At 42.1% G+C, this 25,161-nt stretch overlaps 1 protein-coding gene across 2 annotated transcripts, besides 2 other annotated features; it reads right to left on the bottom strand.

The window, feature by feature from the left end:
• PRPS1 (phosphoribosyl pyrophosphate synthetase 1) lies at positions 2,257 to 24,773 on the bottom strand. 2 transcript variants are annotated; one of them, NM_002764.4, is made up of 7 exons: positions 24,533 to 24,773; positions 13,805 to 13,988; positions 12,283 to 12,381; positions 10,793 to 10,917; positions 7,933 to 8,106; positions 5,518 to 5,677; positions 2,257 to 3,343 (listed from the first exon to the last, which is right to left on the bottom strand). In NM_002764.4, exons 1-7 carry the CDS (start codon positions 24,652 to 24,654, stop codon positions 3,251 to 3,253), a joined length of 957 nt encoding a protein of 318 aa, NP_002755.1. In that variant the 5' UTR covers positions 24,655 to 24,773; the 3' UTR covers positions 2,257 to 3,250. The 2 variants fall into 2 exon arrangements, with proteins under 2 accessions (NP_002755.1, NP_001191331.1); NM_001204402.2 differs by lacking the exons at positions 10,793 to 10,917; positions 12,283 to 12,381; positions 13,805 to 13,988.
• Positions 19,954 to 20,056: a silencer, noted in NCBI's record as "fragment chrX:106876457-106876559 (GRCh37/hg19 assembly coordinates)". NCBI's record gives its function as "represses an EF-1alpha promoter that drives an FKBP-Casp9 reporter gene in an ReSE screen in phorbol 12-myristate 13-acetate-treated (for megakaryocytic differentiation) K562 erythroleukemia cells {active_cell/tissue: K562(+PMA)}" and the evidence as "EXISTENCE:reporter gene assay evidence [ECO:0000049][PMID:32094911]".
• Positions 24,886 to 24,935: a silencer, noted in NCBI's record as "silent region_20928". NCBI's record gives its function as "represses an Ori minimal core promoter by ATAC-STARR-seq in GM12878 lymphoblastoid cells {active_cell/tissue: GM12878}" and the evidence as "EXISTENCE:reporter gene assay evidence [ECO:0000049][PMID:35858748]".

Here is a 25,161-nt window from a genome sequence, read left to right as displayed (position 1 = left end):
GAGATGTTGAGTAAACACATTCTGTGTGTGAAAAGCAGCCATTACATTAGGTCAGGAAACAGAGCCAGCCTCCTACCCCTGCTTTAGTCTGTACCTCCATTCTTCAGACAGGTGTTCAAGGGCAATCATGTAGCTATCACAACTAGAGTTTCTTGTCAACTGTGCTCGCTGCAACTCCACTTAGCTTTGGTGCTGCCTCCTCCTCATGCCCTGGCAGGTCTGCTCCTGCTACTATTCCCCACAGTCAAGAACTGCTTTGAGGCTAGGCACCGTGGCTCATGCCTGTAATCCCAGCACTTTGGGAGGCTGAGGCGGGTGGATCACCTGAGGTCGAGAGTCCGAGACCAGCCTGGACAACATGGTAAAACACCATCTCTACTAAAAATACAAAAATTAGCCAGCTACTTGGGAGGCTGAGGCAGGAAAATCACATGAATCCGGGAGGCGGAGGTTGCAGTAAGCCGAGATCGTGCCACTGCACTCCAGCCTGAGCAACAGAGCGATGCTCTGTCTCAAAAAACAAAAACAACAAAAACAAAAAACAACTGCTTTGAAAGGGATCAAAGTTGGGGACTGGGCCTTTTTTGAATAATCTCAAAACCTCATCCTAGGAAATGAATTACCCAAAGGGGCCCACAAGAGAGATCTTAATGTCAAAATATTCTGTAACAATGAGACCTGACCCACTGATCCAATACTTTAGGAAATAGCATGATGAGCAAGTGAAGGCATTGGTGCTTCACATCAGCTTCTCCCAGAGCAAAAATCTGAGATTAAAGAGGTCTAGAGGGTTAGAGGCGCACATTTCATAGTATACTTTAGTCCCTCCTGAATCACTTTTATCAAAGAGCTAGCTGTAAAATAGATATCCCGATATCCAACAAAAGCAAAAACAAAATAAACAAAAGTAGACCTGGGCTTCACAAATAAGGAAGCACTCTTCATGAAGCTCTGTAGCCATGTAGCTTCCCAAAGTAAAAGAGCACCCTTATTTGATGATGGGCCAAGAAACTCACTCACTTAAGGCCGCCATGGTGGCTCATGCCTGTAATCCGAGCACTCTGTGAGGCCAAGGTGGGCGGATCACTTGAGGCCAGGAGTTTGAGACCAGACTGAGCAACATGGCAAAACCCTGTCTCTACTAAAAATACAAAAATTAGCTAGGTGTGATGGTGCACACCTGTAATCCCAGATAACCTGTAATCCCTCTCGAGGCTGAGGCAGGAGAATCACTTGAATCCAGGAGGTGGAGGTTGCAGTGAGCCAAGATCGAGCCACTGCACTCCAGCCTGGGTGACAGAGCAAGAGAAAGATGAAAGACAGAAAGAAAGACAGACAGACAGACAGAGAGAGAAAGAGAAGGAAGGAAAGAAAAGAAAGAAATGAAGAAAGAGAGAGCTAAAGGGAAAGAAAGAAAGAGAAAAAAAAGGAAAGAAAGAAGGAAACTTAAAATTTTGGAATGCATAATAATTCATCCTTAAATTTTGCACATTTACCTTCTCAAAATAGTTCTTATTTAGCAGGGATGAAAGTAAATGCCCAGCCGGGCACCAGTGGCTCACACCTGTAATCCCAGCACTTTGGGAGGCTGAGGCGGGCAGATCACCTGAGGTCAGGAGTTCAAGACCAGCCTGACCAACATGGTGAAACCCTGTCTCTACTAAAAATATAAAATTAGCTGGGCATGGTGGCACATGCCTATAAATTCTAGCTACTCAGGAGGCTGAGCAGGAGAATTGCTTGAACCCGGGAGGCGGAGGTTGCAGTGAGCCAAGATTGCACCATTGCACTCCAGCCTGGGCAACAAGAGCGAAACTCCATCTCAAAAAAAAACCAAAAAATCAAAAAAAACAAAGAAAGTAAATGCCAAACGTATGTCAATTACTGATGAATGGAAGGAAATTATCACATTTGGCAAAATTAGTTCAAAATGAATAAATCACAGAAATTCTCCTCCCATAAGAAAATACCTAATTTGGATCTTCAGGAGTAAGAACCAGAGATCCACCAGACATTATACATGCTATAATTTAGGTATACTGCACAGAATTACACTCTTATCACATTCTCAGTAAACTCCAGACATCTTAGTCTTACAGTTGAATAAAACTGCTGCCAATGTCTTCTCTTGGTTTAACAATGAAGCTAACGTAGTTTGGAAACAAATAAGAGCTATCAATGGACAGCAAGACATCTATCTAAACCAAACCTTTAGCAGAGAGATCAGTACAGATTATGTATGATACAGACCCCAAATCACACAGGTACACACACTTTATTAGTTTCCTCTACAAGAGACAATAACATCAATCTTTTTTAACAGGAATCTCAGTTCATTTGAGAGGCCAAATAGATCCAAAGAAGGAAGATGAAAATTAAATACTTAAATTAATCAAAAGGCACTACGATACCACCTAAAACCTACTGCCTCAGTGGCAGTAGGCTAAGGAAGATCAAGCTACAGCACATCATCTAATATGAATGTTAGCAATTACATAGCAGGAAGCATGTTTGCTTTCCAGAAGACTATGGTACAATGTTCATTTGGGCCCAAGAGGATATTTGGCCAGGAAAGGATCAAGATAGATGAAGGTAAAGCCAAATCGAAAGGGATAGGTACAAAGGAGAATCCAAGCTACATAGTCAAGCAGATGGTGATGGATCAGGCTTCTTCCTCCCAAGAAACATTTGCTGCACTGTGCTGCCTCCCCCCTCAACCACCCCCCACCCCCCACCCAATGTCTGCTCAAGCTGAGCTGCCTGCTCCTGCCTTACAGGGTGCTCAGCTACCAGGACTAGGTTTGGGGTTGCCCAGGGCTCTTGCTATAATTTAGCATAGACCTTGGGGAGAACTGGTCACACATGGGTTGCCTTTGTTGCTAGTTGTTCTCAACAAAGAAAACCCTGAAGCATTCACATACAAAGTAGTCTGAGCTTCCCCAGTCACAGTCAAACACCCTCACACAACATCCTCAAAAGTCTGAAATCTTGCAGCAGCTGAGCTATAGTTAAAGCTGCAAGGCCCACAGAATTATCAAGGAAGCCAGAATGAGATAATGCAGGTAGGAGGTCCCAGCAGTTAATCTCAATCCGTCTTTCCCCAGTTCGGATAAGCTCTAATATACCTGATGTGGGATGTAGAAAGCTACACTGGAGCAAGCCGGGTCTTCTGCTGAATTTGTCATCAAATACCAAGGGGAAACAAGGGTGGGGTGGATTTTATTCTCAAAAAGCCTCAGAAGTTACTCTATTATAAAGGGACATGGCTGAATAGGTAAGAAACGGATTCTCCATTGTGAGTTCTCCTGATGGCTTCTGCAAGGATCATAGAGATGTCAATCACCTAGAAAGGCAAGAAAGGAAATCAGGTTACTATCATATGGTCAGAGATGACTGGCCAATTTGCAGACACTGATGAGCAGCCAGGCAAGTGCCCTTCCTCTTAAAACTGCAACACTGTGCTGTTTCCCTGTCATGAGGCTGCACTCAGCTATTCTTCATAACATTTTTAAGATAGCCACTTACGGCTGGGCACGGTGGCTCACACCTGTTAATCCCTGCACTTTGGGAGGCCAAGGTGGGCAGATCACTTGAGGCCAGGAGTTGGAGACCAGGCTGGCCAACATGATGAAACCCCGTCTCTACTAAAAATACAAAAATTAACCAAGCATGGTGTGGCACACGCCTGTAATCCCAGCTACTCGGGAGGCTGAGGCATGAGAATTGCTTGAACCTGGGAGGTGGAGGTTGCGGTGAGCCAAGATCGTGCCACTGCACTCCAGCCTGGGTGACAGAGCGAGACTCTGTCTCAAAACAACAAAACAAAACAAAACAGCCACTTAGGAAAGAGTCAAAATGCTAACTGAGAAAAAACGCTGACTTTGGTTCATCAAAATGGCTGGGCACTGTGGCTCACACCTGTAATCCCAGCACTTTGGGAGGCCAAGGTGGGAGGATCACTTGAGCCCAGGAGTTTGAGTCCAGCCTGGGCAATATGGTGAAACTCTGTCTCTACAATAAAACAAAAATTAGCCAGGCGTGGTTGTGGTGTATGCCTGTAGTCCCAGCTACTTGTGAGGCTAAGGCAGGAGGATCGCTTGAGCCTGGGAGTTTGAGGCTGCAGTGAGTCAAGATCAGGCCACTGCACTCCAGCTTAGGCAACAGAGTGAGACCCTGTCTAAAAAAAAATGGTGGTAGGTTCGCATTTAAAAATCCTTCTGAATAGGCTGGGCGTGGTGGCTCATGCCTGTAATCCCAGCAGTTTGGGAGGCCGAGGTGGACGGATCACCTGAGGTCAGGAGTTCAAGACCAGCCTGAGCAACATGGAGAAACCCCATCTCTACTAAAAATAAAAAATTAGTCAGGCGTGGTGGCACATGCCTGTAATCCCAGCTACTTGGGAGGCTGAGGCAGGAGACTCACTTGAACCTGGGAGGCTGAGGTTGCGGTGAGCTGAGATCGTGCCATTGCACTCCAGCCTAGGCAACAAGAGCAAAACTCCATCTCAAAAACAAAAAACAAACAAACAAAAAAACCTTATGAAGGAAAAAAAAAAGACTAAGTTGAAAAAAAATCCTTAAGAATGACATCACCTGTAATCTCAGCACTTTGGGAGGCTGACACAGGAGGATAGCTTGAGGCTAGGAGTTTGAGACCAGCCTGGGCAACATAGGGAGACCCCGTCTCTACACATAATATCAAAAAAATTAGCTGGGCATGGTGGTGCACGCCAGCCACTTGGGAGGCTGAGACAGGATGATTGCCTGAGCCTTCAAAGTTGAGGCTGCAGTGAGCTTTGATTGCGCACTCCGGCTGGGGCAACAGAGCAAGATCCTATCTCAAAAAAAAAAAAAAAAAAGATGATAATCCTCCAATTACACATATTAATTTCAAAAAGCTCATAGATTAATGTGAACATTTTTAATTAAGCAAGGCCTTGTTCTTTTAGTGCAAGAGCACTCAAACTTTAGTTTCTAACAATTACTTGGGGAATTACTTTAAAATACTGGTTCCAGGACCTCTGGTTTTATAGGTCTTAGATGGAGCAAAGGAATCTACATTTTAATAAGAACCTTAGGTCCAGAGCACACTGAGAAACACTAAAGTTGGTAGAAGTGTACAATCAGTTTAAAGGTTTCACATTATATCTACAGGGGCCGATAGTTAACAGACAAACACATACTGTAAAGTATGGACTTGAAAACTTTAATTTGCATCAGAATCACTGGGAGAACCTGTTAAAATGTAGAATCTTAGGCTCCATCTTCCAGAGATTCTGAGGTGTAGCAATTTAAACTTTTAAACAGGTGATTTTCCCAAGGCTTGGCAGTTTGAAAAGAAAAAAAAAAAGGAAAAGAAACAGGTGATTGTTAACTTTTGGATCACAAATTCTGATGACAAGACTAAATCCTTCAGACCAAAGAAAGATATCTTCAGAATCCAGAGACCTAATTCAACGTAAGTAACCACCTCCTAAACACTTAGAAAAGTCTTGTTTTGCACAAATCTCATCCTCACCTGTATTTTGGAGCAATGCTTCATCTTGTCCTCCTGAGGTATGGTATTGGTGACTACTACTGCCTCAAAGCATGCGTTGTTGATGCGAGAAATAGCAGGACCGGAGAAGATTCCATGAGTCAAGATGGCATAAACTCTGGTGGCGCCAGCTGAGAGAAGTCTAGAGGGAAAAAATGTTGATTTGGATTCATCTTACTTGTCATTGCAGAATTTTAGTCAGGGAGGAGTATATTAGCCTGCTTAGGCTTCCACAACAAAATATCATATGAAAAAAAATAAAAAAATAAAAAATATTATAAGGCACAGTGGGTTAGGGGAAAAATTTTTTTAAGGAAAAGAAAATACCATAGAATGGGTGGCTTAAATAACAGAAACAAATTTTTCACAGTTCTGGAGGCTTAAAGTCCAAGATCAAGGTGCAGACAAAGTAGGTGTCATGCTGAGGCCTCTTCTCTTGTAGGTGGCCACCACTTTGCTGTGTGCTCAGATGACCTCTTTGTGTGTGAGTGTGAGTGTGTGTGCACGCATGCGTGCGCATGGGGAAATGCTGGCCAGTTCTCCAGCATTCTCTTCTTATAAGGGCATTCATCCCATTGTAAGGGCTCTGCCCTAGTGACCTCATCTAATCCTAAATACGTGCCCCTCAAGGTAACTCCAAATACCATCACATTGGGGTTAGGCCTCAACATATATGAATTTGGGGAGGACACAATTCAGTCCATATCGAGAAAGAACTGCACTAAGAACTTATCTGAATAGGTCTGAATTAGTGTCAAAGGACTCTGGCATAGACTGTTGCACTTAACAAAATCCACTTCCTCTTCTTTCTGGGCACATAGCTGAACTACATTTCCCAGCCTCCCTCACATAGTTCAGTGTGGCCATGTGGCTTAATTCTGGCTATTAAAATGTGGGCAGACACAATGTACATCAGTTTTTGGTTGGACTTAACAAAAATCTTCCAGGGGTGATCCTCTGTGTTCTTTTCCTTTTCTGGCTGGCCAAAATTGAAATGTCTTCCAAGGTAATCTTGGAAACCCCATGTTAAAGATATAGCACCAAAGATTGAAAGAATCTGAGCTCCTAACTATTGCTTAGAAAAAATGAGTCCAACAAGAACACTTGCATTGGAGTGTGCCATGGACAAGAAGGAAACTATCATGTTAGGGAGTTGATCTGTTATAGCGACTAGTATTCCCGTACTTGTACAAGGATGAAATGGGTTTTATGAATGTTTACTCCAGGATCCCAAACCAAGAATCATTCACCCCAATTTTTTTTTAGCACCTATTATGTGCCAGGCACTGTGCAAGGCACAGACACAAGAAAGTTTAAAAAAACCATTCTCAGGGCTGGGTGCTGTGGCTCACAGCTGAAATCCCAGCACTTTGGGAGGCTGAGGTGGGAGAATTGCTTGAGCCCAGGAGTTCAAGGACAGCCTGGGCAACATAGTGGGACTCCTTCTCTACAAAAATAATAATAATAATAATAAATAATTACCCAAGTGTGGTGGCACTTGCCTGTAGTCCCAGCTACTCGGGAGTCTGAGACAGGAGGATTTCTTGAGCCCAAGATTTCAAGACTGCAGTGAGCCGTAATTGTACTACTACACTCCAGCCTGGGTAACAGAGTGAGACCATGTCTCAAAATAAAAATAAAAGTAAAAATACCATTCTAAGAAACAATGCTGCTCATAGTGGCTTGGATTGTTAGTAATGAGGGGCCACTTAAAATCTTAAAGAGTGATGGGATCGAGCCTCAGTTGCAGGAAGATTAGCAAGCATGGAGAGATGGAGTGGGGAGGTGAGAGAACGGTGACTGGCAATGGAGAACAGAGTGGGGAGGCAATTTAGAACACTGCAGGCAAGAGATGACAAGTAATATAAACATTAACCTATCACAGGATTAGAGTGAAAAAAAGAAGTAATAATGAACAAAAGTAGCAGCCGGTAAAACAGTCGAGAAGTAAGACCAAGGGTTCCGGCTTAGGTAAAATAAAAATATGAGCACACACACCTGTCTGCTCAGGATTTTTATTTTAACTCATTAAAACAAAAAACAATCGCATGTAGCATACTCAGGGTGATCAAAAAACTTTGATGATCAGGCGATGGTTGTCTAACATTGTGAATATAGTTAATGTCATGGAATTATACACTTAAAATAGTTAAAATGGCAAATTGTGTTATATGTAGCTTAGTACAATATAAATTTAAAAAATAAGAAAATCTGAAAAAAAAATAAGAGTACTCAACAATTTCTATGTATTATAATTTAAGCCTTGGGTGATAAAAATCTCACAAAGTTACTTATCCCCTCAATTTGGTTCCAAAAGGAATCAGCAGGCTGAAGACATTCAGACAGCAATTGCTAGCTTTTTCCTTCTAACTACCAGCCCCATCAATCCACACTTACTTGTCAGCTGCATGGCAGATTGTGCCACAAGTGTCAGCCATGTCATCCACAAGGATGGCCACCCGATCCTTCACATCTCCCACAAGCACCATGCGGTCCACTTCATTGGCCTTCTTCCGTTCTTTGTGAATCAAGGCAAAGTCCACATTCAGCCTGTCTGCAATGGAGGTCACTCTGCAAAACAGAGCGTGTTCATATGTATGTGTGGCTTCTAAGACAAAAGAAATGGACTAAAGAGGCCGGGGGCGGTGGCTCACGCCTGTAATCCCAGCACTTTGGGAGGCTGAGGTGGGCGGATCACAAGGTCAGGAGATAGAGACCATCCTGGCTAACACAGTGAAACCCCATCTTTACTAAAAATACAAAAAATTAGCTGGGCATGGTGGCGGGCGCCTGTAGTCCCAGCTACTCGGGAGGCTGAGGCAGGAAAATGGCGTGAACCCAGGAGCTGGAGCTTGCAGTGAGCTGAGATCGCGCCACTGCACTCCAGCCTGGGTGACAGAGCGAGACTCTGTCTCAAAACAAAAAAAAAAGAAAAAAAGAAATGGACTAAAGAATGGGCTTGTTTTGGGGAGGAGAATACTCCTTGAAACCAATAGTTCCCAGGGCTGGAAGAATGAAAGCAACTATCATTGACTTCTCAAAGGCAAATATCACAAACTGGGTTTTATAAACCAGTGCCTCCATAGCTCAACAGAAGCTTATGAACGTACTGATCAAACTTAGATGAGTATTCATTCTGGGTAGAGGACAGACACCCTCACCAGTACTGGGAAGCAGTATAACGCTAAGACACGCAAGTTTATTTAATGGATTGGCAGCAGAAGGAATGAGGAAAGAATTAACTAATGCCAGGAGTACACAGACTGTCCCAATTCCCATCATGGAAGACCCGTGAATGGGGATGTGGTGAGAAGAGAACCTGACTGGCAGGAGAGGAGCAGCATCCAGCCTGTTCCAATGCCTGTGTCCTCATCACTTCCCTCAGTGCTGTTGGCAAAACATCCATCAACTGTCACTGTCAACTGTACCTGGACACCAAGCTTGGGAGTTTTTTTCACAATTGCTAGACAGAAAGTTATATCAATTACCCAGACAAGCTAGGCATCTCACCATTCGGTCCAAAGTATCTTCCAATCAAAGAGAATTCTTATTTTTCTTATTACAAGAGAAAATAAACCAGACTAGAAGGTAGGATAGAAGACAAATTTGTCTTTTGACAAAGTACCACATAATTCAAACAAAAATCTATTCAGTGTAAATGACAGTGAGCTGCCCCAGTGGCACGTCTGTCCATGCTCCGCTGTGCCATCTCCGTCATGTGTGAAGCAGCCCGTGCTTGGGGATTTGTCCTGTTTTTTAATGTAGAACTGAACAAACTATAGCATTTTGTCCTGTTTCTCTTGTGACTATGGTCACATGAGTTTTTGCTGGATAAGTGAGAACCTGTGACCACATAATAAGGTTTGAACCATAATCTAGGTAACATTTGTACCTTGATCTAAACCAACCATACCCTGTACTCTCCATTACTACTACTGCATAAGCACATAACATCAGTGGTAACCAATTCGCTTGGAATGATTACTTACCCAAGGCAAATGCATGATCAATTAGTTCAAGTATCCCAAACCAACCATACTCAAAGGCCAACAAATTCAGTGACCAACAAAGCATAAAAAGGGCTAGAAAAAGTAACTCTCTACACCTTTTGAGGAGAGAACTACTGTACAAATGAATATCACACAGGGATCTCTACCTACTCCCCAAACCCTGCCAACACAGAAGTGATAGACACTCAATTGTAAAATACTCCATCACTATAAGACAATGATAATGAAAAAAAAATCAGGTAGCAATAAGTTGTCTACTAAAGGCAGTTTTCCTATACCCACCTTTGGAAAGAAAATCCTGCCTATTTCAAATGTGACTATTTTCTAAGTCCCACAGAAAGATATTAAAATAATGACCGACAAATTAAATATGACAACTACTAGTTGGGGGGATGTTTCTTAGGCTGTCTCTAGCATTACAGATGGTAACTAGCAATTACATGGGACTCACCAACCCATATATCTGGCTGGATAACATAACTCAAGTTCTCAGCTTATCAGTTCTGTTGAAGTTACTGAAATAAAAGAGGTTGTTGAGAAACAGTCATTGAAGATTTGAATGGCTTTTAGAAAGTTCTGAATTAGCTCTTCCTAATCATCTGTGTTTTGTAGCTCTTCATTCTATTTCCACAACAAGAAGAACATGTGTCACACTTTTGAATGCATTACTAACGAGTAATCCACTAAGGAAATCAAGAGCTCTTAGTCTGCACCATGTGAGCTGCAAAGCACTGTTAACTGGCAATCCCTGGCAATCAGTTTGTTTAAAATGTTAAGATCTTGGCTTTAAATAAAAATGTCACACTTTACTTTCCTTCCTGCTTAATATTTTAATCCCAAGGATCAAAATGATCTAACCAACAGCATTGTAAGAGGAGTGTAAAAGCGAATTTGTCCACCAATATGTGGTTCAATAGCAGCTGCTATTCATTAGAAAACCACATTTTCTACCCTTCCCAAAAGGTTTATAGCTGTATTGCTAGCTCTGTAGCACCAAGTTACTCATAAGTTATAGTCAAATCCATAATATGATGATTTAGGACCCCTTTTCTGTCTTGTCTTCCGAGTAGTAACTGAGGACAGTAAAAGAGGAAAGGGTAAAACTATATTCAACCCATGTGCTAGCTACTTACATCCATTCAAAAATACTTAAAAACTGCCACTTGGATAGAAAAACTTCACTTTGTGACACAACCATCTGAAAGATTTTCCCAGTACATTGGGAACAATACTAATTTCAACCATACCTCTTAGCTCCACCAGCATCAGGTGAGACAATAGTGCAGTTCCTCCACTCAGAGATATTCTCCCTTATCCACTTTAGGACAGCCGGCTCTGCATACAAATTGTCTACTGGGATATCAAAAAAGCCCTGTAGAAAGAAGCTGGATCAGTTTTGCTTCACTTTCCTTCTCTTCCATTTATAAATGGCAAACACAAAGTAGTAACTTGCTCAGAGAATGTCTTACTGCAACATTCAAACTGATGGGAAGGCAGGCCCAGTGTGGTAGATTATAAAAGCCTCCTTGAATCTGGGCTATGTGAGAGAGCCCAGCCAAGATCAGCAAAGCCAGCCCTCAGTCAACCCACAACTGAACATAGGAACATAAGTGAGCCCTTGTAAAGAATGGCTAAGTTCAGACAAAACCATTAAGAACTGCCCAGTCAACATGCAGACTCAGTGAGTTTGTAAATACTGCTTTATGCCACTAAGTGTTGGACTGATTTGTTAAGGAGTAAAAGCTAATGGATAAACCAGTTAGAGATGCTATGGCATATAAACTTAATGGAAGCTACTTATGATAAATAGTCACAGTGAATAATTAGAAATCAGGAGATCTGTGTTCTAATTCTAGTTGATACAAATTAGTTGTATTTCTCAATTAAGTCATTCCTTTCCATAAAAGGAGTACAGTCCCTGTCCAATGTACTTCATTGAATTCCCACAAGCTTGAAATGTAATGATTTGAAAAATCTCTTTGAAAAAATATAAAATAAAGGTGGTATTCCACCCCCCTTACTTTGGGTTTATGTTGGAAAGTAGGCTCCAATATCTGTGGCTCTAAATTTAAGACCATGAGGCCAGGCACGGTGGCTCATGCTTGTAATCGCAGCACTTTGGGAGGCTGCAGCAGGCAGATCACTTGAGGTCAGGAGTTCGAGACCAGCCTGGCCAACATGGTGAAACCCCATCTCAACTAAAAGTACAAAAAAGTTAGCTGGGCCTGGTGTCAGGTGCCTGTAATCCCAGCTACTTGGGAGGCCGAGGCAGGAGAACTGCTTGAACTGAGGAGGCAGAGGTTGCAGTGAGCCAAGATCGTGCCACTGCACTCCATGAATATTCAAGGAGAATAAGAATGATAATAACAGCTCCTATCTATGAGTACCTGTCATGGGCCAGGCATTATAATATGAATTTAATGTTTTATACTCACAATAATGAAAAAGTATATGTTCAGAGAAATTAAGTAACCTTCCCAAGCTTACAAAGCTAGTAAATACCAGAGCCTTTATTCAAAGTAGTGCTCTTCCCATAAAACTAGACTGCCTCCCTATCTAACCACCTGAAATGACTAAGATCATGAAGTATGCTTAAGGTGAACACATTTAAAATGTTGTTGATATCTAGTTTATTTCAGATGTACTTGGGCATAATTTTTGGCTTCTCTGCAGTCTTCAGCATCATCAGTCCTTTCCTCCCACCTTTCAAACACCAATATTTAGCTTCCACTGATACCTGAATTTGAGAAGCATGTAGGTCCATGGTGATAATATGATCTGCACCTGCTACAGATAGCATATTTGCAACAAGCTTGGCTGAGATTGGCGCCCGGCTCTAAATGGAGGGGAGGAAAGAAAAGAAAAACCAAAAAGCCAATTTGAAAAACAATTCATTTACTCAAGAAACTATTTATTGTGTACCTACTATGTTAAAGGCACTATGGTACCCAGAAATTCATAGAAGGAGACATGTCCATTGACTTTAAGTGGATCATAATTCAGAACAAATATTAAGTGGAACATCACTTTTCCAAATCAGGATACACTTATCAATAAAGAAAATGCTTTCCTAACTTTTGTTTTCTTAATGTACACATTTTCAATCCTATTCAAGTGTTTCCAATGCTCAATTATTCAAACTAGGCAGACTTTAAAAAATAATTTTATTAAAATCTCTTTCAACACATACATATGTAAACCTTTAACACCTAACATGTCAAGGTTTGAAGATACATCACAGAATAGATATTATAGTTTCCTTTGTAAATCACATCACTACTTACTCATCTGGAGGTCAACTTTCCAACAACTATGAACTCCTCAAATAAAACATACTTGCTGCACTGTAAAATAGCAAAGTCCATGCATGCCTTTTTTTTTTTTTTTTTTTTTGTAGAGACAGAGTCTTGCTCTATCGCCCAGGCTGGAGTGCAGTGGCATGATCTCAGCTCACTGCAACCTCTGCCTCCTGGGTTCAAGCAATTCTCCTGCCTCTGCCTCCCGAGTAGCTGGGACTACAGGCGCGCAGCGCCACGCCTGGATAATTTCTTTTGTATTTTAGTAGAGACGGAGTTTCACAGCGTTGCCCAGGCTGGTCTCAAAACTCCTGAGCTCAGGCAATCCTCCCGCCTCGGCCTCCCAAAGTGCTAGGATTGCAGGCGTGAGCCACCGCACCCGGCCCATGCCCTTTACTTTATACTCTGTTGGAATAAAAATATCTGACCTTCTTCGAGGCATTGTGTGTAAAATTGGGCATTAATTACAATAGACTTGCAAAGTTTTATGTATATGCCTTATCCTCTAATATACCAGGATAAGGTGAGAGATATATATAGTTTATCTATCTATCTATCTATCTATGTATCTATCAGATCAAGTATTCATATAACAGACTTCAAGTTTTATGAAGAGGTCACAACTAGGATCCCAATCTTACAGTTTGAGAGGATCTACCGTAATTTTAAAAATATACTCCAGTACTCCAGAGGAGTTGGTGCTTAGTCTTACTGATACAATTAAAAATACCAGTGAGCTAACTGAAAGTTATATATGTATCACTGTAATAAAATACAGACTACAAATGTGTTGCTTTATACAAACCAATTATATTTCTATTGTTTTGAAGATAGGGTAATACCTAAGAAAAGGTGATTTTTAAAATTCCCCCTAAATATATATTTGATAATTTTGGAATTTATTTGTGATTTGGGGCAAGTGCTCCTGCTTCCTCTGCTCAAAAAATAAAATTCTGCTCCTACCTTATCTTTCTTATCCTGCCGGGCATAAGGGAAGCATGGGATGACTGCAGTAACCCGGCTGGCTGAAGCAATCTTGCAGGCATTAATCATGATCAAAAGCTCCATTAAATTGTCATTGATTTCGCCACAACCACTCTGAACAATGTAGACATCCTCTCCACGTACACTTTCACCAATTTCCACACTACAATGAGGAAAGAAAGAACATGAAATAGATTTTAAACCACTGTACTGTCAGCCCTCCATATCCATAGGTTCCACATCTATGGATTCAACCAAGTGTGGATTGAAAATATTTGGAGAAAAAATTGCACCTGTATTGAACATGTACAGATTTTTTTCTTTGTCATTATTTTCTAAATACAGTATAACAACTATTTACGTAGTATTTATATTGTATTAAGTATTATAAGTAATCTAGAGATGATTTAAAGTATATGGCAGGGCTGGGCGCAGTGGCTCATGCCTATAATCCCAGCACTTTGGCAGGCCAAGGTGGGTGGATCACTTGAAGTCAGGAGTTCGAGACCAGCCTGGCCAACATGGCGAAACCATGTATCTCTACTAAAAATACAAAAATTAGAAGGGCATGGTGGCAGGCGCCTGTAGTCCCACCTACTCAGGAGGCTGAGGCACGAGAATCGCTGGAACTCAGGAGGCGGAGGTTGCAGTGAGCTAAGATCACACCACTGCACTCCAGCCTGGGCAACAGAGTGAGACTCTGTGTCAAAAATAAAATAAAATAAAATAAAATATATGGGAGGGCCTGGCATGGTGGCTCAGCACTTTGGGGAGCAGGGGGCAGGGTAGAAGGAGGATCATTTGAGCCCAGGAGTTCAAAACCAGCCTGGGTAATACAGTGAGACCCCATCTCTACAAAAAATAAATAAATAACAATAAAGTATAAGGGAACATGTGCATAGATTATTTCATATGGCCGGGCGTGATGGCTCACGCCTATAATCCCAGCACTTTGGGAGGCTGAGGTGGGCGGATCACCTGAGGTCAGGAGTTCAAGACCAGCCTAGTCAACATGGTGAAACCCGTTTCTACTAAAAATAAAAAAATTAGTCAGGGTGTGGTGGCTCACACCTGTAATCCCAGCACTTTAGGAGGCCAAGATGGGTGGATCACCTGAGGTCAGGAGTTTAAGACCAGCCTGGCCAACACAGTGAAAACCCATCTCTACTAAAGTATAAAAATCAGCCGTGCATGGTGGCACACGCCTGTAGTCCCAGCTACTCGGGAGGTTGAGGCAGGAGAATCACTTGAACCCGGGAGGCACAGGTTGCGGTGAGCCAAGATCACGCTACTGCGCTCCAGCCTGGGCAACAGAGTGAGACTCCGTCTCAAATAAAAATAAAAAAAAAAAATTAGCTGAGTGTGGTGGCAGGTACCTGTAGTCCCAGCTACTCAGGAGGCTGAGGCAGAAAAATTGCTTGAACCGGGAGGCAGAGATTACAGTGAGCAGAGATCGTGCCTCTGCACTCTAGCCTGGGTGACAGAGCAAGACTCCATATCAAAAAAATATATATATATATATATATATTTATATTACACTATTTCATATCTGCAGATTTGGTCTTGGGACCAATCCCCTGTGGATACTGAGGGATGACTTTACTATACTTCTATAGACAATAAGGTCTAAGAACAGCTTCCCTACTAGTATGCTGTGAATGGTTACAGCTACATGTGGATATTGATCACCTAGGCTTCAGGAGATCCTCTGAAGGAGCCTTATACCAGAAGCAGTTCACTGCCTCAGTTTACTCCAGTGCACTATACAAATATTACCATTTTCTATGGTAATATTTTCTAATATTACCATGTGACAGACACGAAAAAGATGCATGAAATGGTTGGCACATGTTAGTCTAAAGTACTTACAAATAACCGGACCATAATTTTAGCAGGTGGCCTGTATCTCATTTCATATAGGTACATGTGATGTACATAAAATTTGATGCATCACCTATTACTGTTACAGAGTCCATAAATAGCAAAAGAAGTAGAAATATCATAAGGAGTGAATCACTACTGTTCTATAATGACACTTTAACAAAAGACAGTACCACCTCTACCATACTGGCAATTTACCCAGTAAATATTAAATGTTCATATGCTCATCACTGTACTAGATGCTAGGGAAACAATGGTGAATAAAATGTGGTCCTTGCCCTCATTCTGTGTTAACTGTACTCTGGTCCAATTACTAAGTAACTCCATAGGAATTTACTCTAAGTATGAAGTAGGGCTATATTTTACCACGAAAGTTTCAGTGCCCATACTCGGGTCTCTACCAAGAAAAAAAAATCACCTCTCCTGTTCACCAGGTTTAAGAAAAAAAAAAGAAAATAATTTAAAAATTTTTAAAAATCACCTTAGTGATACCTCAAACAACATTATATTCCAACTAATCCTCTAGGTGAAGGAGAGGTGTATGTGTGTATATAGACAAGTAGATCAGAATGGCTGACAATACCTATTGAACAAGAGAAAACTTCAGTTCAAATCAAAAGGCAATAGAGTTATTAAATAAAAGATCCATACTTCTATCTCACTCTAAGCACTATCTTCTGTGTGGCTTCAGGAACTACCTACTGTCCTATTTCTGTCAAGATCACTTTTACCCACCCTTCTCTCCCCAAACAAAACTTCAAGGAGAACTCCAAAAGGGACTTATATGAAAACTGGCAGAGGCAATTCTATTGCCAGAAGAAGCTGACATAGGAGATAATTACTTATTTATTCCTTTCTAACCCAAGATGAAAGGGAGCTGGGAGTGGTGGCACACACCTGTAATCCCAGCTACTCAGGAGGCTGAAGCAGGAGGACTGCTTGAGCCCAGGAGTTCAAGTCTAGCCTGGACAACACAGGAAGACCCTCATCTCAAAAGCAAGAAAAGACAAATGGGGTTAGTTTATGTTGTAAAGCAAGAAAAATAAAAGCAAGTGAAAAAAAATCAAACTAGAAACCAATTAAAATCAAGGAAGCTGAGATTCCTGGCAGCCAGAACAAAAAAGAAAATGCACTAGTTTAGGATAAACCTTTTTTAAGACTGGACGCAGTGGCTCATGCCTGTAATCCCAGCACTTTGGGAGGCCAAGGCAGGCAGACTGCCTGAGCTCCCCATTTCAAGACCAACCTTGGCAACATGGCGAAACCCCGTCTCTACCAAAAAACACAAAAATTAGGCGTGGGGACATGCATCTGTAGTCCCAGCTACTCAGGGGGCTGAGGCAGGAGAATCGCTTGAACCTGGGAGGCGGAGGTTGCAGTATGGGGAGATGAAGCCGCTGCACTCCAGCCTGGGTGACAGAGCGGGACTCCGTCTCAAACCAAACAAAACAAAACAAACAGGCAGTGGTCATTTCAAGGGACTTTTGGGACGTTTTCAGTTTTTTTTTTTTTTTTTTTTTGAGACAGTCTCGCTCTGTCGCCAGGCTGGAGTGCAGTGGCACGATCTTGGCTCACTGCGACCTCCACCTCCCGGGTTCAAGTGATTCTCCTGCCTCAGCCTCCCGAGTAGCTGGAACTACAGCCGCACGCCACCACGCCCAGCTAATTTTTTGTATTTTTAGTAGAGATGGGGTTTCACCATGTTGGCCAGGATGGTCTCGATCTCTTGACCTCGTGATCTGCCCGCCTTGACCTCCCAAAGTGCTGGGATTACAGGTGTGAGCCACCATGTCTGGCCCAGATCTTTCTTTACTACTAGCTCTGCCCTTCGAGAGATTTCAAGCTAAAAGAGTCACTTTTAGGTTTTATGTTAAACAAGTCTGTGGTTGGGAGGCAGAGGCAGGAGGACCGCTTGAGCCCAAGAGTTTGAGACCAGCCTGGGTAACATAAAGAGACCTCCTCTCTACAAAACAATTTAAAAATTAGGCATGGTGGCAAGTGCCTGTGATTGCAGCTACTGGGGAGACTGAGGTGGGAGGATTGCTTCAGCCCAGGAGTTAGGAGCCATGATCATGCCACTGCACTCCAGCCTGGGTGACAGAGTGAGACACTGTCTCAAAAAAAAAAAAAATCAGAAAATTTTAATGCTGCTCACATTCATCCTCCATATATCAGCTCCTTGACCAAAATATGCATTTCCCTGGAGGAGAATGAAAGTCAGGCAGGCATATTGATTTCCAATCATGTATCAGAAGCCTATGGCTCTTGTTTCAGTCAAGAACACAGAGTATCATCTGTGCTCCAGACATTCACTTGCCAGAGTCAGGATGTTTGATTAAAAGTTGGAGAACAAATGAACAAATGTAGTTTGACAATTGATATCAGACAGTATAAGGGACAAGCTATTCTGCTATGTTTTTAAAACTTTATCATTATCGCTGGGCACGGTGGCTCACGCCTGTAATCCCAGCACTTTGGGAGGCCGAGGCGGGCGGATCACGAGGTCAGGTGATCGAGACCATCCTGGCTAACACGGTGAAACCCCGTCTCTACTAAAAAATACAAAAAAATTAGCCAGGTGTGGTGGCGGGCGCCTGTAGTCCCAGCTACTCGGGAGGCTGAGGCAGGGGAATGGCGTGAACCTGGGAGGCAGAGCTTGCAGTGAACCGAGATCAAGTCATTGCACTCCAGCCTGGGAGACAGAGCGAGAGAGCGAGACTCTGTCTCAAAAAAAAAAAAAACAAAAAACTTTATCATTATCAAGTAAGACCAGAAAACAACATTCTTAGACCACAGTGGCTTATCTCCCTTTACAAATGCCTCAACTATCAGTCAATATAAAAAATACCCACAAAATTGTTATATTGTCCATGATGTTACTCGATATCACTATTTAGAGGTCTCACCCATAAAATTCTTAGGATTTTTTGCCTGGAAGTTTCTAAATAACTTTATGAAAATAAAAACCACATAATCGATTGCATATGCCTTTATCCCTCTGGCTGTCAGGAAGCCAAGGGATACAGTTAAAAAAATGTAACACTAGGCTGGGGCGGTGGCTCACGCCTGTAATCCCAGCACTTTAGGAGGCCGAGGTGGGCAGATCACCTGAGGTCAGGAGATCGAGACCATCCTGGCTAACATGGTGAAACCCCGTCTCTACTAAAAATACAAAAAAAAAAAAAAAATTAGCCATTAGCTGGGCGTGGTGGTGGGCGCTTATAGTCCCAGCTACTCGGGAGGCTGAGGCAGGAGAATGGCGTGAACCCGAGAGACAGAGCTTGCAGTGAACCGAGATCGCGCCACTGCACTCCAGCCTGGGAGACAGAGCTAGACTCCATCTCAAAAAAATAAATAAATAAATACATAAATAAAATAAAAAGTAACACTAAACTTTAGAAATTGTTTTATGCCAAATAGTTGCCACAATTACTGTAGTCCATGGTTCTATAAGGCTTCTGATACCTACCTTAACAAACGGTTTGTACTAGTGACTATCAAACATACTTCAAATCCTTTCTTGAAAGCAGGTGAGATACTATTTAAAAATTAAATTATCACTGCTAATTAAAACATCAAAGGGCATCTGATAAATATATAGCTTTAATAGAGTTGATTATTTTATTTTTTAAATTGTATTTATTTTTTTTGAGACGGAATCTCACTCTGTCACCCAGGCTGGAGTGCAATGGTGTGATCTCTGCTCACTGCAACCTCTGCCTCCCAGGTTCAAGTGATTCTCCTGCCTCAGCCACCCAAGTAGCTGGGACTACAGGTGTGTGCCACCACGCCTGGCTAATTTTTGTATTTTTAGTAGAGATGGGGTTTTGCCACATTGGCCAGGCTGGTCTCAAACTCCTGACCTCAGGTGATCCGCCTGCCTTGGCCTCCCAAAGTGCTGGAATTACAGGTGTGAGCCACCGCACCCAGCCAAGGTGATTATTTTTAAAATATACATATTCTAACATCACATAAGGCTTGAATAATAATTTTTTATAAATCACTTATCAAACAAAAAATAAAAATAAATAAAAATCACTTATCAGCTTACCACCCAATACAGTCGCTAGTACCATTTTTGTTATTATATCACTTAATAATCAATCAACAGCTCAGCTATTTCTCAAAGCCAAACTTTTTTTTTTTTTTTTTTTTGAGATGGAGTCTCGCTCTGTTGCCCAGGCTGGAGTGCAGTGGCAGGATCTCAGCTCACTGCAAGCTCCGCCTCCTGGGTTCACACCATTCTCCTGTCTCAGCCTCCCGAGTAGCTGGGACTACAGGCGTCTGCCACCATGCCCAGCTAATTTTTTGTATTTTTAGTAGAGACAGGGTTTCACCGTGTTAGCCAGGATGGTCTCGATCTCCTGACCTCGTGATCCACCCGCCTCGGCCTCCCAAAGTGCTGGGATTACAGACGTGAGCCACCGCACCCGGCTCAAACTTTTTAAAATTAAAAGCTACCTTCAGCATAGAAGGTGTTTGTTATAAGGCATGTATCTAATAACTTGAAAAGGTTATTTAACTGTTTAAAAAATGTGGGGCTTTTGAAAAGATCTTACAAAAATGAAATAAAAGTAGAGAAACTTAGAAAGCAAATACATAAATAAAATAAGGTGGTGCAAGTAAACTAGGTGATACTGCCTTGTTTTAATGTGTATAATTCTAATTTCACTTATTAAAACCAATCTTTCCCTATAGTAGTACTATAACATACAGACTTTGTTTGACAAAGTCTTAAAAAGTCCGTGAATTGCACTCTGATTATACAGCTTGGTTCAACAAGTCCTCTAAAAATCTTAACCTTATTCTTATGGCTTCTTCTAAGTTATGGCAGTGATCGAGAAGAATATTTGTGCCTAAAACCTGTTTGCTCCTAACATAATCTATTAAGTGGAAAAACCTAATTCAGCAATTTAGAGAGTAATACTCCTTGTTCTCTCCCTCTAGTTAATGGAGTGTTCTCCAAATGGCTTTGGGCCAATCATTCTCTCAGCTGTTTTGGTGAGGCCAGAAGACTGGCTATGTCTATCCAATGAGTGAAAAAACTAGCTTCTCTTTTCCCTTTCCTTTAAGGTCAGGCATAAGTGTATCCAATTGAAATGGAATGTCAGGAAACACCAAAAGTGAATCTAAAAGGTGGATAGTAGTCTTAAGAAAATCTGAAGAATTTAGATTATGGAGATATTGGCATGTGCAAAATACATGGGATTAACTAACCACAACCAGAAGATACAGTTCTCAGGAAAACCCTAGGCAACCAAAGTTCAAGTCTTCCTCCTCTCAGCTAGTACAGAATAACCAAATAAACCAAAGTTATTTACAAATATTGAAGAGAATAGAGTCAAAATTTTAGAATATCTAAGTTTTTAAAGCCAGGTGAGAGATCTTGTCAGCAAAAATTTAAAGGAACAATAATACCCAGAGCTGGGCAAGTTACTCTGCATCTTACTGTAGTTCTCTTCTCTGTAAAATAGGGATAGTAAGAGTTATTCCTCATAGCAGTTTTGAGGGGATTAAACACAATGTATACTAAATGCTTAGCATGGAAACTAGCACATCTTAGGCATTCACTATACATTAAATATTATAGCCGGGCACGGTAGCTCACACCTATAATCCCAGCACTTTGGGAGGCCAAGGTGTGGGGGATCACCTGAGGTCAGGAGTTTGAAACCAGCCTGGCCAACATGGTGAAACCCTGTCTCTACTAAAAATACAAAATATTAGCTGGGCGTGGTGGCACGTGCCTGTAATCCCAGCTACTCGGGAGGCTGAGGCAGGAGAACTGCTTGAACCTGGGTGGCGGAGGTTGCAGTGAGCTGAGATCGCACCACTGCACTCCTGGGCAGTAAGAGTGAAACTCCGTCTCAAAAAATAAATACATAAATAAATATTATTAATATTGTATTACTGCTGATGAGACAGATTTGTTCAACTTTTCTGGGGAATAATTTGGCAACAGGTATCAAAAGCCTGAAAAATGGTATCTACCCTTTAACTTAATAATTACCTTCCTAGGGATTTATTCTAAGGAAATAATCAGAAATGGTCAAAGATTTATGTTCATGGATTTTCATATAAAAGCATTAGATCAAAAACTGGAAATGTCCAATAAGAATTTGGTTATATAAAATTATGGCATAACCATAAGGTAAGACTATATAGCTATTTAAAATTACATGAACTAGCCCACCTCAGTGGTGCATGCCTGTATTCTCAACTACTTGAGAGGCAGAGGCAGGCAGATCACTTGAGCCCGCGAGTTTGAGGATGCAGTGTGCTATGATTGTGCCTGTGAGTAGCTATTGGACTCCAGCCTGGGCAACATAGTGAGACCTCATCTCTAAAAAATAAATTAAAATCTTTAATAATAAAAAAAGAAAATCATATATACTAAATATTAAAGGGAGAAACTGTTCAAAATATATTGCTAAGTGAAGAGAGCTATAAATGTATTAAACATTCTTGAAAAAGTGTATCTTACACAAATATCTGGGAGGTCAGAAATGATAATGTGACATTTATGTCAGGTGGCAGAATTAAGAGGCATATCTTCTCCCTTCCGTGTTCTAAATTTTCCACATTTTCTGCAATATTATCACCACCCCTTCTTGTCAACATTTACTGTTGTACTTATTATGTTTTGGACAAGATCCTAAGAACTTTACTTCTATCTCATTTAATCCTCATAACAACAGTATGGGTAGGTACTACTTTACAGATTAGATTATTGGGGCAAAGAAAGGTTAAGGATTCAGATCCAAGTTCTCTGATTTCAGCACTTTTAACACCCACCCCCTCCGTGTGTGTGTGTGTGTGTGTGTGTGTGTGTGTGTGTTTCCTAAATAACCAGACAGCCAAGGATGATCCTTATGTTAGAAGAAAAGCTACTCTGCTCAAGAGAGCATCAACCAAGAGTCACCTGGGGGAGCAGTTATAGGGAGCAGTTACCATTTCTTCAGTATAGGAAAAACAAAGATAGGGGGAACTCCATAAAAAAAAATGTGATTATGTTCAATGAAGATTTCAGAATATCTAGGAAACAAGAAGCTAATGATTAAGCCAGAAACAAGAAAATCTAACCAGTCAGCAATTATCCATGTTGGACTTAATAGAAATCAATCAGTAGAAAACTAAGTTGTCCTCCCCCTCTCCTCTCCCAATATAGCCTCAGGTTCTGGGGTGCTGCATTATGCAGAGGGCAGAAGGATTAACACAAGGAGAAAATAAAGCTTTCATGCCTTCACATTTTTCCTAGACGCATAGGAAAAGGATTAAATATCCACAGGGGCCAAAGAAAACCTCTAAATGAAAAACATTCTTGTCCCCTAACTATATTGCCAATCACAAAGTCTAGTCCTGTTTTGTATTCTTTATTAAGGCCCATGAGCCATAATGGTTTGGAAAAATCTAAAGACAGCAGTTTGTAAGCCTCTTTTAACTAAGGTATTGCCTGGTTACAGATGGCAATGTTTACACTATCATTTGCATCACAATCAGTAGCACAATAATTCGGGAAGAAGCTGTCCATTATCGGTGACATTACTTTATCAGCTGGGTCTAAAAGAGATAAGGCGAGTTAAACTTGGAAATCAGTCCAAAGAAAGCAAAAAAGTAAGCAAAAACATTTAGGAAAAAATATTCGAAATATTCTTATCTGATTATTAGGTGAAAACTTTCCCCTTAACAAATCTGTAAGATTGTGGGCAGGGCTCTGATTTAATCGATAGGGTAACAATAAAATACAAATTACACCTATCAGAAACTAAAGATCCCACACTTAGGTGGAAGGGGCACTGAAATAATCAGGTAACCAAGTCATCTCTAAAACAGTCCCATGGTGCCGGTAGAGGGTGTAAGTCGGAGTCGAGGAAGCAAGTTTTACTGGCAAGGCAATGGAAAAAACGCAAGTTGCAATGCACTGTCCAATCCTAGTCTTCCACTACATTGCCTGTCCTCAATTATCTTTAACATTCAGGTATAAAATTGTTTCCTAAATTCCCTACACAGAGCTTAAAGAAGGAGCCAAGTCCAGGATGGACTCGGTTACTGAAAAATACGCTTTTGCATTATCTGTACCACTAGCTGCACTGGGGAAGGTCAAACATTCCAGAATTGAGATTTCCAAGATTTTTTGGATGGCTCAAGCTGAGATGCTGGCTATCAAGGATGCAGAGTCAACGCATCACTTTAACAAATCAACTAGATTTATGGCTCCAATTACTCAGGTAGATGATTCATAAGATGAGAAAAGCCAACGCTTGCTGATCTAAGGGAAGTCGTAATAATTTTGGCGCCTGCAGTATATAATGTCAGTTTCCCTCAACACCAAGCCGAACGGACCAACACCATTTCGAATCAAAAAGCTGCTTATTGGACTCTAGGAAAAGAAAGACCAGGAGAGCTCAGTACGCAGGTAGGCTCTCTAAATGCAAGCTAGTCTAAGAGCTGAAGCAACCCAGTCCAGCCTGGGTGGCTCAACAGCAAAGCCAAGCCACGTGTCCCTACCGCCCTGGCTAAGCGTCGGTCCCCTCTCGTCGCTCTATGCAGCCACTATCTATTGGGTCCCCCAGCCCTTGCCCTCAAACGCAGAAGCTTCGCCTCACACTCCATCTTTTGACTCCACCCCACCGCACGGTAAGAATGAACGTGACCCTCCCGCGAGAGGTAAAATAACGGAAACAGCCCGTGGGGTAGGCTAGTCACAGAGCTGCACCCTCTCCCCCCAACCCCCAGTCTGTTTGAGCTCAAGCGGCGACCCCATCCCTCCTATACTCTGCCGCCTGGGCAGGTGAGGTCTAGTCAGGGTCCCAACTTGGTCCTTACCAGGTCTCCTGGTTGCTGAATTTCTTAGTCACCACCTTGCCTAGCTCCAGGCCCAGGCGGTCAGCAATTTTCTGAGATAAGTCCTGGTGGGAGCTGCCGCTGAAGATTTTGATATTCGGCATCCTGGCCAACTACCCTAAGCACTCCACTAAGCGATCACGGCTGCTGCAGAGACCGGAACCGAAGTCGGCCACAGACTCAATACCAAGCGCTTTGCGTTGCTACTCCGCCATCTTACATTCCCGCCCGGCGCGCGGCTCTAAATTACCCAAAGCGGCGGAGGTGGGGTCAGCGGCGAAGTCCACACCCCGCTGGCAACGATTAGCTAAGAGGGAGCGAAGGGCGGGGTTTGGTCCTCGGTGTAGCTCTGCCTCCTTCCGATTCTCTCAGGTATTGGGTGAAGAGCATGAACGGGGGCGAGACTAACCCATAGCCCGGCCCCCTGTAGCTAGGCTGTTGGGGACAGGAGACGTTGGACTGGGGGTGGAGGGATGCTGGTGACGTCTGAGGCCAGATCGTTCCCGCTAGCGGGAAATCAACCATGCCTGCTTTTTTATTTCCCCTCCCTCAGCGCAGGAAAGTAAGTCTGGCTCTGGTTTACAGTTTCCTTTAAGAAAATCTGTTTATCA

Source organism: Homo sapiens, chromosome X (genome assembly GCF_000001405.40).
Source record: "Homo sapiens chromosome X, GRCh38.p14 Primary Assembly".
NCBI lineage: Eukaryota > Metazoa > Chordata > Mammalia > Primates > Hominidae > Homo > Homo sapiens.
This window is presented reverse-complemented; position numbering and strand designations above follow the sequence as displayed.

Bases quoted from the DNA above. Each gene is read 5' to 3' on its own strand.
- PRPS1 (NM_002764.4), bottom strand. From the start codon at position 24,654: ATGCCGAATATCAAAATCTTCAGCGGCAGCTCCCACCAGGACTTATCT. The intron at 13,989-24,532 runs GTAAGGACCAAG...TCCTCATTGTAG, and splicing joins TTCAGCAACCAGGAGACCTG to TGTGGAAATTGGTGAAAGTG. The intron at 3,344-5,517 runs GTGAGGATGAGA...TTGCCTTTCTAG, and splicing joins AGCATTGCTCCAAAATACAG to GTGATTGACATCTCTATGAT.